General features: G+C 39.7%; 1 protein-coding gene across 1 annotated transcript in view; it reads right to left on the bottom strand.

The window, feature by feature from the left end:
* IRAG2 (inositol 1,4,5-triphosphate receptor associated 2) overlaps positions 1–13,504 on the bottom strand; it is a 110,761-nt gene that overhangs the window by 76,128 nt on the left and 21,129 nt on the right. Inside the window, exons 8-12 of the mRNA NM_001394803.1 lie at positions 11,301–11,418; positions 8,287–8,337; positions 5,342–5,419; positions 1,874–1,930; positions 7–66 (exon numbers count right to left, since the gene is read on the bottom strand). Coding sequence (NP_001381732.1) covers positions 7–66; positions 1,874–1,930; positions 5,342–5,419; positions 8,287–8,337; positions 11,301–11,418 — 364 coding nt within the window. The remainder of the gene's footprint in view (positions 1–6; positions 67–1,873; positions 1,931–5,341; positions 5,420–8,286; positions 8,338–11,300; positions 11,419–13,504) is intronic.

Here is a 13,504-nt window from a genome sequence, read left to right as displayed (position 1 = left end):
GTATACCTCTATAATGCTTCCATATTCTATGATGGTTGATTTAAGTTCTTCTATATATAAGCCTTTCTGAAAAGTAGAAGAGAGAAATAATAGCAAAAAAGTAATGGGTCCACCAAATCATATATATTAGACTATTAATGTGAGCCACAGAAAAATTGTAAATGCCCAATCGTCATGCGATTCTACCAGTCTCACTATTTGAAAACTGAACCAGTCGGTGTTTTGCGATTAAAAACACACAAGGACGGCTGGGCGTGGTGGCTCACGACTGTAATCCCAACACTTTGGGAGGCCGAGGAGGGCGGATCACCTGAGGTCGGGAGGTCCAGACCAGCCTGACCAACATGGGGAAACCCTGTCTCTACTAAAAACGCAAAATTAGCCGGGTGTGGTGGCGCATGCCTGTAATCCCAGCTACTCAGGAGGCTGAGGCAGGAGAATCACTTGAATCCAGGAGGTGGAGGTTGTGGTGAGCCAAGATCACGCCATTGCACTCCCGCCTGGGCAACAAGAGTGAAACAAAACAAAAAAACAAAACAAAAACAAACACACACACACACACGGACAAAAAGGGAGCAATATGTAACTGGTGTCAATATAATCTGTGTTTGTCTGACCCAGTGGAATCAAACTCTAAAAGGTGATTCTTAAGCCCAAAACAAAATTATATTTATCATCATGATGTGTTAAAGAAAAAAATCAGTCTTGCAAGTGACCAATGAAATAAAGGCATCTGATTTTTTTCAGTACTAATGATACCTCCTTAAAATCATTGTTTTCTTCTACAAGACCAAAAGGTACAGGTAGTGAGTACCTGATCTCTAATTTTATCCTGTGGCTAGCGTGGTGGCTGGCACATGGGAGATGATCAATCAATACCTGATGAACCCTGAGCAGGAGTGCAGAACGGTGAGAAGACCAGAGTTAGGGAGGAACTGAGTAGCCACTACTATCGCAATATCATTACATAGAGAACACCCGCAATGAAGACATCAAGTTAGGACAATACGCAGTATCCCAGTCAAAGTCCACAGCTATGCATGTTTCTTTTGAAACTTCAAAATGTGCATGGAAAAGAGGAGTGGCAAATATCATTCTTTCTTCACTTCTCTGTTTTGGACTGTGGAAGATTATTGACTGAGGCTGTGTTCCTTCCTGTGTCTCTTAAAGTTACCGTAACCAGCACCTTTGTAGCCGGTATCCTTGGCTACAATCACAGGATACAAGAATAGAATGATATCTATCTATGTATCTATCTAATCAATCAATCAAATTGGGTTTCAAATAATTTGGGTATATATTCTTCTTCCACCCTAAAATGAATGGCTGCAGACTCATTTATGTTGTTAGAAATTAAAACGACATCACCAGTATCTAGCCAGTGACTGGTAGATTGGCACACTAATATTTGTCACGTGTGGATGAACACCACCAGAATTTAGAGAAGATATGTTCAAACTTATTTTTATAAAGTGCTATAAAGGAAAGTCTCATGACATCATATTAGAATCAGATTTTTTAGGCTGGGTGCGGTGGCTCACGCCTGTAATCCCAGCACTTCAGGAGGCTGAGGCAGGTGGATCACCTGAGGTTAGGAGTTCAAGACCAGTCTGGCCAACATGAGGAAACCCCGTCTCTACTAAAAATACAAAAATTAGCTGGCTTGGTGGCAAAACACCTGTAATCCCAGCTACTCAGGAGGCTGAGGCAGGAGAATTGCTTGAATCTGGGAGGTGGAGGTTGCAGTGAGCTGAGATCATGCCATTGCACTCCAGCCTGGGCAACAGAGCAAGACTCCGTCAAAAAAAAAAGAATCAGATTTGGAGAGAGCTAGCCAATTCCATGGGACTTTGTGGTAAGGAACAATACCAACCTTCTGCAAACTTGTATCTTTATTAAGCAAAGTGTTCTCATATGTGTGTAACTGCATCTGAAAAGAGACGAATTTAGGGAAGGCCGTTGGGACATTGCTTTGGTAAAAGGACAGTGCCATAAAATCATTCCAGTAAGATGTTTCTGAAGCACCTTTAACATGCATGTACTTTTCACTTTACAAAGTACTTTCCCTTCCAACTCTAGAGGCAGGCATCATTGCTCTCATGTTACCAGTGAGGAAACCAAACTCCACACTACCCAGAGACTCACCCACCCAATGTCGCACACTGTCAATGGCAGAGCTGAGCCTGGAATGCAAGTCTACAGCTCCAGCCAAGTGCCCTTCCCACCATTCCACACTTAACATAATAAGGGAATGTTCAGAATCTTCACTTTTTTGGTGAAAATAAAAAGTCTAGATACAATATGAACATAGAGATTCCATGAGGACACATAGAAGACTCTTCCCCTTTTAAAAACATAGTTTAGCCTGGCATGGCGGCACATGCCTGTAGTCTCAGGCACTCGGGAGGCTGAGGCTGGAGGATGGTTTGAGCCCCAGAGTTCGAAGGTGCAGTGAGCTACGATCACACCATTGCACTTCAGCCCAGGTGACAGCGCAAGACTCTCATCTCTAAAACTAAAATTTAAATAAAAAAAAAAAACATATTGTAACAATGCTTAAGATTTCTTTTAGCTAAGTGAACATAAAGGATATATCAATTTATTCAAATCAAAAGCAAGCTTGTTGGCATATGCTGCTGCATATTATAGAATGAATAAATATGTATATTGACTGAATTGAGAACCTGGAAAAATAATCATCATGGTCAGAAGCAGAATCATCACCATAATCTTATACACTGGATATAATCACATCATCATCTGAATTTATAGCAAGCTTGTGGGATAGGTACAAACATCACATCCATTTAGTAGATGTGAAAATTTAGACTTAGAGCTTGCCTGAGGTTATAAAATTTTTCAGTAGAAAAGACAGGATCTGAACCCGTGTCTTCTGGCTCTTTCCACTGGTTTATCACAGTTGTGTTTTGCAAAGACAGCCACTCCTAGTGTAGAATTAATTTTAATGTCTAAGAAGGCTGGGCATGGTGGCTTACAGCTGTAATCCCATGCTTTAGGAGGCCAAAGTAGGAGGATCACTTGAGGGAAGGAGTTCAAGATCAGCTTGGGCAACATAGCAAGACTTCATCTATACAAAAAATTTAAAAATAAATTAACTGGGCATGGTGGTGTGCCTCTGTACTCCCAGCTACTTGGAGTTTGAGATGGGTACATGTGCACAACGTGCAGGTTTGTGATGGGAAGATCACTTGAACCCAGGAGTTCAAGGCTGCAGTGAACTATGATAATGCCACTGCACTACTGCGCAGGTAACAGAGTGAGATCCCATCTTTAAATTCACAAATTAACTGATTATTTGTTAGTTAATTTTTAAAAAATTGATGTTTAAATTATAACTGTTGTTTTACATATATATGTAAACACACACATGAAATGTTAGTTTCTGCTAGGAAACTGGAAAACTCTACATCAGAATGTAGAAATTTAAGTATATCATCATTTCAGACACATACAACAACAAAATATTTCTCAAATAAGCCATTAGAGATGACAATAAGCATGACACAAATTCATGAATTTACTAGTCGTTGTCATCTGTTTCCTGATGAGAATGTGTGACAGATAACAAAAATATGTATGAAATATAGACTTTTTAGACACTATCTAGACAAAAAATATTTTTGTAAGGTATAATTTCTTAATATAATTAGGGATAAATTTTTCCCATCTCTCCTCATTTTTAGCATTAAGAAGGTACATTATCTCAGGTTGAGGTTGGTAAACTACAAAAAAATAAAAATAAAATTTAAAGAAGGTACAATATCTGAAATATTTCCTGATTTAGAAATAAATAAAATCAGACACAATTAAATTAAAAATTGCCATATAATATAAAAAGATAACAAATCTGGGCAAGAATGTAGAGAAATTTGAGCCCTCATGCACTGCTGGTGGAATGTAAAATGGTGCAGCCACTTTGAACACAGCCTGGCAGTTCCTTAAAAGGTTAAACGTAGAAACAAGGCCAGGCGTGGTGGTTCACCCCTGTAATCCCAACACTTTGGGAGGCTGAGGCGGGCAGATCACTTGAGGTCAGGAGTTTGAGAACAGCCTGGCCAACATGGTGAAATCCCATCTTTACCACAAATACAAAAATTAGCTAAGCATGGTGGCGCACGCCTGTAATCCCAGCTACTCAGGAGGCTGAGGCAGGAGGATCCCTTGAACCTGGAGGCAGAGGTTGCAGTGAGCCAAAATCATACCACTGCACTCCAGCCTGGGCAACAAGAGCAAAACTCTGTTTCAATAAATAAATAAATAAACAAACAAACATAGAAACATCAAGTGACCCAGTAATTTCACTCCTAGGTATATACCCAAGAGAAATCAAGACATATGTACACATAGAAATTTGTATACAAATGTTCATAGCAGACGATTCATAATAGCCAGAAAGTGAAAACAGCCTGAACACCCATCACCTGATGAGTGAACAAACAAAATTTGATATATCCATATAGAATATTATCCAGCCATAAAAAGAGGTGTAGTACAGCCGGGTGCAGTGGCTCATGCCCGTGATCCCAGCACTTTGGGAGGCCGAGGTGGGCAGATCACAAGGTCAGGAGATTGAGACCATCCTGGCTAACATGGTGAAACCCGGTCTCTACTAAAAATACAAAAAATTAGCTGGGTGTGGTGGCGGGTGCCTGTAGGCCCAGCTACTCGGGAGGCTGAGGCAGGAGAATGGCGTGAACACGGAAGGCAGAGCTTGCAGTGAGCCAAGATTGCACCACTGCACTCCAGCCTGGGCAAAAGAGCGAGATTCTGTCTCAAAAAAAAAAAAAAGAAAAAAAAAGAGGTAGTAATACATGCTATATCATGGATGAACCTTAAAAACATTATGCTAAGTGAAATCAGCCACACACAAAAGGCAACATATTATATGATTTAATTTATATGAAATGTCCAGAATAGACAAATCTATAGAGACAGACAATAGATTAGTGGCTGCTTAGGGTTGGGGAGAGGACGGTGGGTGGGGGATGGTAAAAGGGATTTCTTTCAGGGTGATGAGAATGTTTTAAACTTGATTTTGGAGATGGTTGTACAACTCTGTGAACGTACTAAAACACACTGACTTGTATACTTTAAGTTGATGAAATTTAAGGCATGTGAATTACATATCAGTAAAGCAGTTGCCAAAAAAAAAAAAGAAGGAAAAGGAAACTAGCTTTTATATAACTCAAATATTTTGTAGACTAAAAGTTTCAGAATTTATAACCAAAGTTTAGTTTGTCAATGAGGCATAGACATTTTCATAAAATAATACTGGTTTGACAGAAAAAAAATATTTTACCAGTATTTGGGAAGTGCTTACTTGGTGCTCTGTCTCAGTTTTAGACAAGTCTTCAATCTTCTTTTCCAGTCTGTCTATATCCATGATGTTCTTGAAATTCTAATGTAAAAGATAGTATTCTTGGATTTAGCACCAAGAAAAATAAAAGATGAGGACAAACAAAGTCTCTTTTAGGAGGTGGTATTTCATCACTCTCAGTATTGCCTTTTTATCTTCCATTCAACCTCAGCCACTACTCCCATAGTCATAAATTCAAACTTGTTATTACCAGTCACTGCAGCCCCTCCATTACCTTAACTGCAAGCATCCCACCGTTCAACAACCACCTCTTGGCTTTCCAGATTACTTCCTCTATACCCACAAACCTTCAATCCCCCCTGGAACCCGCAATCCATTGATCCGACCACCTTTTCATTATCCTTCAACCTTCCCATGAACTCAGACCCCTCTTTATTTAGCTTCAGTTCTTCCCTGGGCAATCATTATAATCATTCCCTTCCAAATGCCTCCATTCCCTGCCTAACTCCTGCTTCTTAGCATTTACCTAGATTAGCTTACCACCCACTCCACACCAGCACCCTTTCAGATGAACATGCTTAAAGAAAGCATGAACAGATAGGTCACAGGTTTAATTCATGGCCTTTAACCTCAGTGTTTACTGGTGATCATATCATATCATCCTGGTATATTTATACTGCCTTTTACCTAAATCAGGGGGTGGCAAACTATGCCCAGCCCCCTCACTCCACCCCTAAAGACCAAATCTAGCTGACCACCTGTTTTTGTAAATAAGGTTTTATTAGAGCACAGCTGTGCCCATTCAGGTACATACTGTCTATGACTGCTTTCACAATACAAAGGCAGAGGTAAGTAGTTGACACAAAGGTCATTTTTGTGGCTAGCAAAGCCTAAAAATATTTACAATCAGGCCCTTTACAAAAAATTTTCGAACCCCTAGCTCATTTCATTCCTTCTCTTTCCTCAAATTTCCAATAACCCCTCCAACATCCTCACTCTCAGCTGATGACTTTGCTTTGTATTTCACTGAGACACTAGAAACAACCAGAAGAAAATTTCCTTCTTACCTGAAAACATAACAAATATCTTTGGATATATTACAAAGCATTTCCTGATCCAAACACTTCTGTCCACCTCCACTGCAACTACTCAGTCCAAGCCCCCATCAGCTTTTGACTGGATCATTGCAAAGACCTCTTAATTGGTCTTCCTGCTTTTTCTCTTGCCCCGCTACAATGGATTCTAAACCCAGCAGCCAGAGTTGTCTTGTTAAAACGGAATTAGATCATATTACTCCTTTGCTCAAAACACTTCAATGGCTCCCATCTCACTCAAGTGTTTTTTTTGTTTTGTTTTGTTTTGTTTTAAAAAAAGACAGAGTCCTTAGGATGCGTGTGTAAGCCCCTTGTGTCTGGACCCTCCAGCTCTTGGCCTGCATCTCTTGCTACTTGTTCACTTTGCTCCAGACACTCTGGCCTTGCTGTCCCTCCAAAATAGCAGGCAGGCTGCAGCCTCACGATTTTCAGCTATTTCTTCTGCCTGGAAGGCTCTTTCACAGATAAACCTCCTTTCCCAGTTTTGAATCAAAGGATTAGCTTCATAAGGCTGCTTTTCCTAACCACCCTAGTTTAAATTGCACTCCTCTCTGCCTCAGTTCTGTTTTCTGCTTTTCTTTTCTCTATAGCTCTTTTTACCGTCTAACATACTAGTTCCACATGAGCTATTTTGCTAAGCTCATATAGTCAGCACTTAGAATAGCTCTAAGATCTTCCAATGAATACGTGTTGAATGAACAAAATGAATGAATGAATAAAAGTGAATCACTACCCAAACCATTGTGATGTTACTCTTCACAATGCATCAGATTTTTACCTCCCAAAGGAATCTTAGCTAGTGACAACACTTATATTCGTTTTCTAATGTAAGTCAATAATTGCAATGCTATTTCATGATGAAGGGCTTTCAATCTTCCTTCTATCTCAATTCTGAACTGGTTTGGTACAATTCTTTGATACGTGTCACTCATCTAAATAAGAGGAGAAAAATATCTTACATTAGTAGTTTAATTGTAAATCACTAGTTTCACAAAAGCCTGGCCTTGTGGCTATACCAGCTCTGAATCTAATATAGGCTTTCTTTCCAAACTTTAATTGTTCCTTTCCAATCCACTATGAAATTTTAAAATACCCACTTGGCCCACATTTTGAATAACTCTCCAGATTGTGCTGCATAGCTTCATAAATACTTCTGATAGCCTCACATAAAAGCAAAATTTAAAAACTGGCATACTACTTGATATTCAAATGGTGTCTATTATAAAAGGAATTTTCCCAGCAAAATAGTAACTTGCTAGTAGCTTGTTCCCTGTTCTTCCAATGCTTCAATTTTGTTGCTTTAAAAAAATTATATTCTTTTTCTTTGAGATTATACTAATATTTCCTAACATTTATAAGCTACATTGTGGTTTACCAAATGGCTTCACGTGAATTATCTTAGTTAATCTCGAAAATAACTCCATGGCATAGGTACTATTAGCCCAGAAAAGATAAATGGTTTTTCCAAGGTCCTTTTTTCAGTGAATTTAAGATCTGAATCGTAGACTCAAGACTCTTGCCACTTTGTTCAATGGAATTAAATGGAAAATGATTAGATAACATCCATACTTTCCTTCTTGATTTGGATATTTTTTAGATGGGTTCATTGTATTTCATCTTAAATTTGAATTTCTTAAATCCCATTTCTTCCAAGGATAATTGCAAAAGTAACAGTTTCTCTGTTCAGACATGAAAATCCCATCCATTCCTCCTCACTTGTAATTTGACAAGTCAACCTGCTCTCTGGCCTATAGGAGGCTATATTTACATGATTTTTATTTAACCCACAGCCATAAACCACGATGATATGATTTGCATGTTTGTCTATGCCAGTGTTTAACGATTCTGACATACCTCTTCCTGTAGAATCCGAATCTTAAGAATCAGAGCCCGGTTTTCTGTCTCCTAATTCATTGTGAGAAAAATAATTAAAATATATTTAAGATGTTTATGAAAATACCACATATTTACCTCCAAGGCTGACATTCTCTACCAACTTTGAATGTAGCATTCACCTATCACAAATGAGCCTACTCTGAAAATATTTTCAATGTGGGGTTAAGCCTTGGCCTACAGGTACTTGGGGATCTAAGTGAAGTCATTCTCCTCCTGGACTCAATGTAACTATGGTTGTTAGGGAGGAAAAGACAAAAGAAACAAAAAAGTAACAACCTGGCTTCTTTCCCTGCTACTTCATTTATGACAGGTAGTTGTAAACTCAGCTATTTAAATAGCACCTTGAAATCACAGAGCTCTAGAGTTCTATTTGAAGCTGTGGATATTCTCAGATGCAACATCATCACAACATATGAGCATCAAAAACTGTTTTACAATTAACAGCCTCAAATTCAGAACCATCAGAAAAAAAAAATCAATATATTTCAGGACAGGCTATTTGCCAAAATGTTAACAGTAAATTTCAAGGGTAGGTTAAGAATTTTGCAAAACTTTTTATTTGTTAATATGCATTTCTTTATTTTTATAAAGTAAATAGGTATTACCTTTATAATATAAAAATGAAAGAAAAAATATCTCAAGCTAGGATTTCATTGACACAATAATAAACACCTGCTCCCCATCCATGTACTTAAAATCTGAATACCTGAGTTCAATTCTGGCCCTACTTTTTCTTTTTTTTTTTTTTTTTTTGAGACGAAGTCTCGCTCTTGTTGCCCAGGCTGGGGTACAATAGTGCGATCTCGGTTCACTGCAACCTCCACCTCCCGGGTTCAAGTGATTCTCCTGCCTCAGCCTCCCGAGTAGCCAGACTTACAGGCACTTGCCACCACACCTGGCTACTTTTTGTATTTTTAGTAGAGACAGGGTTTCACCATGTTGGCCAGGCTGGCCTCGAACTCCTGACCCCAGGTGATCTGCCCACCTCAGCCTCCCAAAGTACTGGGATTACAGGCGTGAGCCACCACGCCCGGTGGCCCTACCATTTTTTAAAAAATTGACAGATAAATAACATCATGTGCTTTTACCATGTATAACATGATGTTCTAAAGTACATATATACCATAGAATGGTTAATTTAGCTCTATCATTTATTAGACAATTGACTTTGAACAATTAAAAACTTCCTCTGGACTTTATTGCTCTATTACATTTTTTAGTACACAAAAATATAGCAACTTCTGTTTCTACCTTACAGATTTTCTGTTATTACCTATGAGATGAAGTATCAACTAAATCTTTTAAAATTATAAAACACTACAAAATGCAAATGATTAGGATTCCGTATCTAGGACTCTGAACTTTATTTTTATTTATTTATTTATTTTTTGAGACCAAGTCTCAGACACCCAGGCTGGAATGCAGTGGTGCAATCTTGGCTCACTGCAGCCTCCACCTCCTAGGTTCAAGCAATCCTCCCACCTCAGCCTCCCAAGTAGCTGGGATTACAAGTGTGTGTCACCACGCCTGGCTAATTTCTATATTTTTAGTTGAGATGGGGTTTCACCATGTTGGCCAAGCTTGTCTTGAACTCCTGACCTCAAGTGACCCACCCGCCTCAGCCTCCCAAAGTGCAGGCCAAAATTCTGCACTTTAATCAATAGCAATTTAACATTACCAATTCCTAACAGGAAAGAAAGGACATTGAATGCTTTACATGCGCTAGCTCATTTATCCCTCCCAGCCCTAGGGTAAGTAGTATTGTTATCTCCATTTTATCTAGGAGGACCCACGGGCTTAGAGTGACTATGTGGCAGGGCTAAAGTCACACAGCCCTTGGAGCCGGAGCTTGAAGGAAGGCAGTCTGACTCCCAAGCGTGGGCTCTTGACCAGTTCTCTCCATTGCCTTCAGTTAGAAGCTCCTTAGTGGTCCCAGATTGAGTCTTTCCTATAATGCATCCATATAGACTTGCAGGGTCACAAAAGACCTGGCATTCAATGATCTAGTCCCCATATTTTACTACTGAGGCAAGAGCTAAGCTAAACAAAGTTATTTTGTTTGTGGGAGGTCATAAGGGACTGCCACAGGGCTGGAACCAAGTCTCTCCAAGATTTAGAGACTCTAAAAACAGTTTTGCAACTGATACCTGAAACAAATTAGTCGGAATGACTTTCAGCCACTCCTTACCATAGTTAATGATACTAGAGTACTGCTGGCATCTATCAGGATTTTGAAGACTATTACTAATTCTTTATACAACAGTTGAACCTTCTCAATAAAAATGATCACTTCTCTGGCATCTGACTTAAAGTTTAGTCTAAATGACTCTTTTGCTCTGAAATTATAAGCCTGTGCTTATTTAGCATAAGGAATGATTTATGGAGCTTCTCAGTAACCTGCAAGTACTGAGATAACTGTTTTTTTTTAAATCTGAGAAAAAAGGTGAAAGTTTCACAGATTTTTTTTAATTCAAGTGGTTTTTAGTATCAGATATTTTTGAATTCTCCTATCGACTTTAGGAGGCATTCCAGATATTTTCTGGGTTTTCAGAAACTATTGTGAATGTGACTGAGAAATATGTAAAAAATTTAAATCTTGATTGAAAAGGAGGCCAAGCACAGTGGCTCATGCCTATAATCCCAACACTTTGGGAAGCTGAAGTGAGAGGATCGCTTGAGCCTGGGAGGTCGAGGCTGGAGTGAGCCACGATCCTGCCACTGCACTCCAGCCTGGGCAACAAAGCAAGATCCTGTCTCAAAAAAAAAGAAAAAAAGAAAAAAAAAAAAAGAAAAGAAAGAAAGAAAAGGAAAACACAGATTTAAAAAAATCCTACCTGCCTTTACTTTTCTAAAGTGTTACCAATTCATTCATCAGGATATTGACTTCTGATGTTCCACCGGATAAGTCCTCTTGTATATTTCAGTTATGTAAATTATACGCCAAATTCAAAGTACTATAATAGATGACTTACTAATTGTTTGCTCTGGGCTACAATCATGCTCTTCTGCTCTTCTGAAGCATTCATACTAAGTTTCAGTTCCTCCAGTTCTTCTTTTAACAGATTTGTTCTCATAATAGCCTGGTGGGCACTGTGGGGGTGGGGGGAGAAGGCCATGAGCAAAACCTCAAATATAACCGTCAAAGACACTAAGAACAGCCAAGGACTATTTTGGACCCAAGTTGAAAACCACTAAAGGCTTAAACCAGATGCCCGCATAGTAAAAATATACCCATGATCTTTCAGTCCTTGGAAAAGGAAGGAATTTGGAGAAAATGGGGAGTGGGGAATGGAGACTATGGGGAAAACAGACAAATGTATTCCTGAAGCTAAAGATTTAGAGGATCCCTTTGAAAATCATCACTGGCTGAATTACCTGGTTCTTTCCCCCTACTAAGAAGATGTAATGTTAGTTAATGCAGTTCCACAAATATTAATTGAATAATACCATGTTCTAGGTGCTCTACAATGCAGGCTACAATGGTGAACAAAAGGGACATGGTCCTTGGCCTTATAGAGCTTACATACTATGGAGGGAGATGACAACTAAACAAATAAATAATTACCAAGTCTCTATATGACATATTCTATAAAGAAGTTTATCATACTGTTGATTATAACAAAGCATTGGAAAAAAAACCTAAACATCCACCAACAGGAAACTGATTAAATGAATTATGGTAATCCATATCATGAAGTTACCTACCTGTAGCTCCCGTTAGATTATAGACTGTTCCCTTAGGAACAAAGCCTTCAAAGGAGATACAATTTTTTTCCTAAGAAATTACATTGATCATTTAACAAATACTAATTGAGTGCTGAACCTGTCCCAGGCACTGTGCTAGGCATTGAAGAAGGGAAGAATGACTGAATCCGGAGAATTCTACTCATCTGGAGTTTATAGCCTAGTGGGGTAAACAGACAATCATACTGACAATACAGTATGATAAGAATCAAAAGAAATAAGGGTTTCTGGCTTTTAGGTAACTAGAAGGAAAGTAGTGCTGTTCTACAGTAGGTATTCTACTAAGCACTAGGCTAAACAGGATGAATATGACATAGTTCCTCCCATCAAGGAGGTCACAGTGATATAAACAGGAGGCAGGGAAACACTAGGTAGAAAAGGGCAGGGTTCCTGGCAAGGGTTCCACCCTCAAACCTGGACCCATGGCCTTAAATGAGAACTTCGCATCCCTGATTTCCCACCTGAATGCTGCCTTTTGACCCACCATGCCCCCTATCCTGTACCCACAAAAACTCCAAGCTCCACTGGCAGAGGAGCAGAGCAGTGTGGAAGAGAAGGAGAGAAGAGAAGAAGCTCTGAACATCAAGAGGAGAAGAGGCAGCTGGACATCAGAGACTAAGGTCAGAGAGAAGTTTGGCCAGGGACTGTCAGAGAGGAGTTTGGCTGGGACAGCTAAACTCCAGGGGAAGATTATCTTTCCACACCATCCCCTTTCCAGCTCCCCATCCTGCTGAGAGCCACTTCCACCACTCGATACAATCTCCACATTCACCATCCTTCAAGTTTGTGTGACCTGATTCTTCCTGGATGTTGGACAAGAACCTGGGTACCAAGAGGGTAGGGTGTAAAAGGCTGTCACCCTGATCCTCCACTGAGCTAGTTTAACTCTTAGCTGTCCATAGATGGCAAATGCTAAAAGAGTATTGCTTGTAACACATGCCCTCTGGGGCTCCAGAGGTTGTGGGCAACCCCTAGATGCTGCCACAGGCTGGTATGGGGTTTGTTCCTCCTGGCACCTAAAGGCACTCACCCCAGCTCCTACACCTGCTCACCTGCATGCTCCCCCTCCTGCAAGGGGTTTGAGCATGGCAGCTGAGCCAACAAGCCATCCCGGTTGCAAGTCCCACGAGGCAGTCAAGGGAACCCTCCCACCTCAATGGTTAATACAGAAAACAAATTACACTATGATGGGACAATTGGACAATATCAAAACTAGGTTGCGGGAACCCAAAGGAAACAGACAGTCTTCAGAAAGGATTAGGGGAAGGAGAAAAGAGAAAGACACGTGGCTTAATTTTGTAGACAGTGGCATTCTGATTGCCCATCTGGATTCTCCAGCCTTTCTGTCCATTATGTGAGTTACTTAATTCCTTTCTGATATATTTCTTGACTGCTTATTAAACCAGAGTTAGATTCCAGTGCTTGCAACCAA

Source organism: Homo sapiens, chromosome 12, assembly GCF_000001405.40.
Source record: "Homo sapiens chromosome 12, GRCh38.p14 Primary Assembly".
Lineage (NCBI taxonomy): Eukaryota > Metazoa > Chordata > Mammalia > Primates > Hominidae > Homo > Homo sapiens.
The sequence above is the reverse complement of the archived record's forward strand: the minus strand, read 5'-3'. Positions and strand labels throughout refer to the sequence as shown.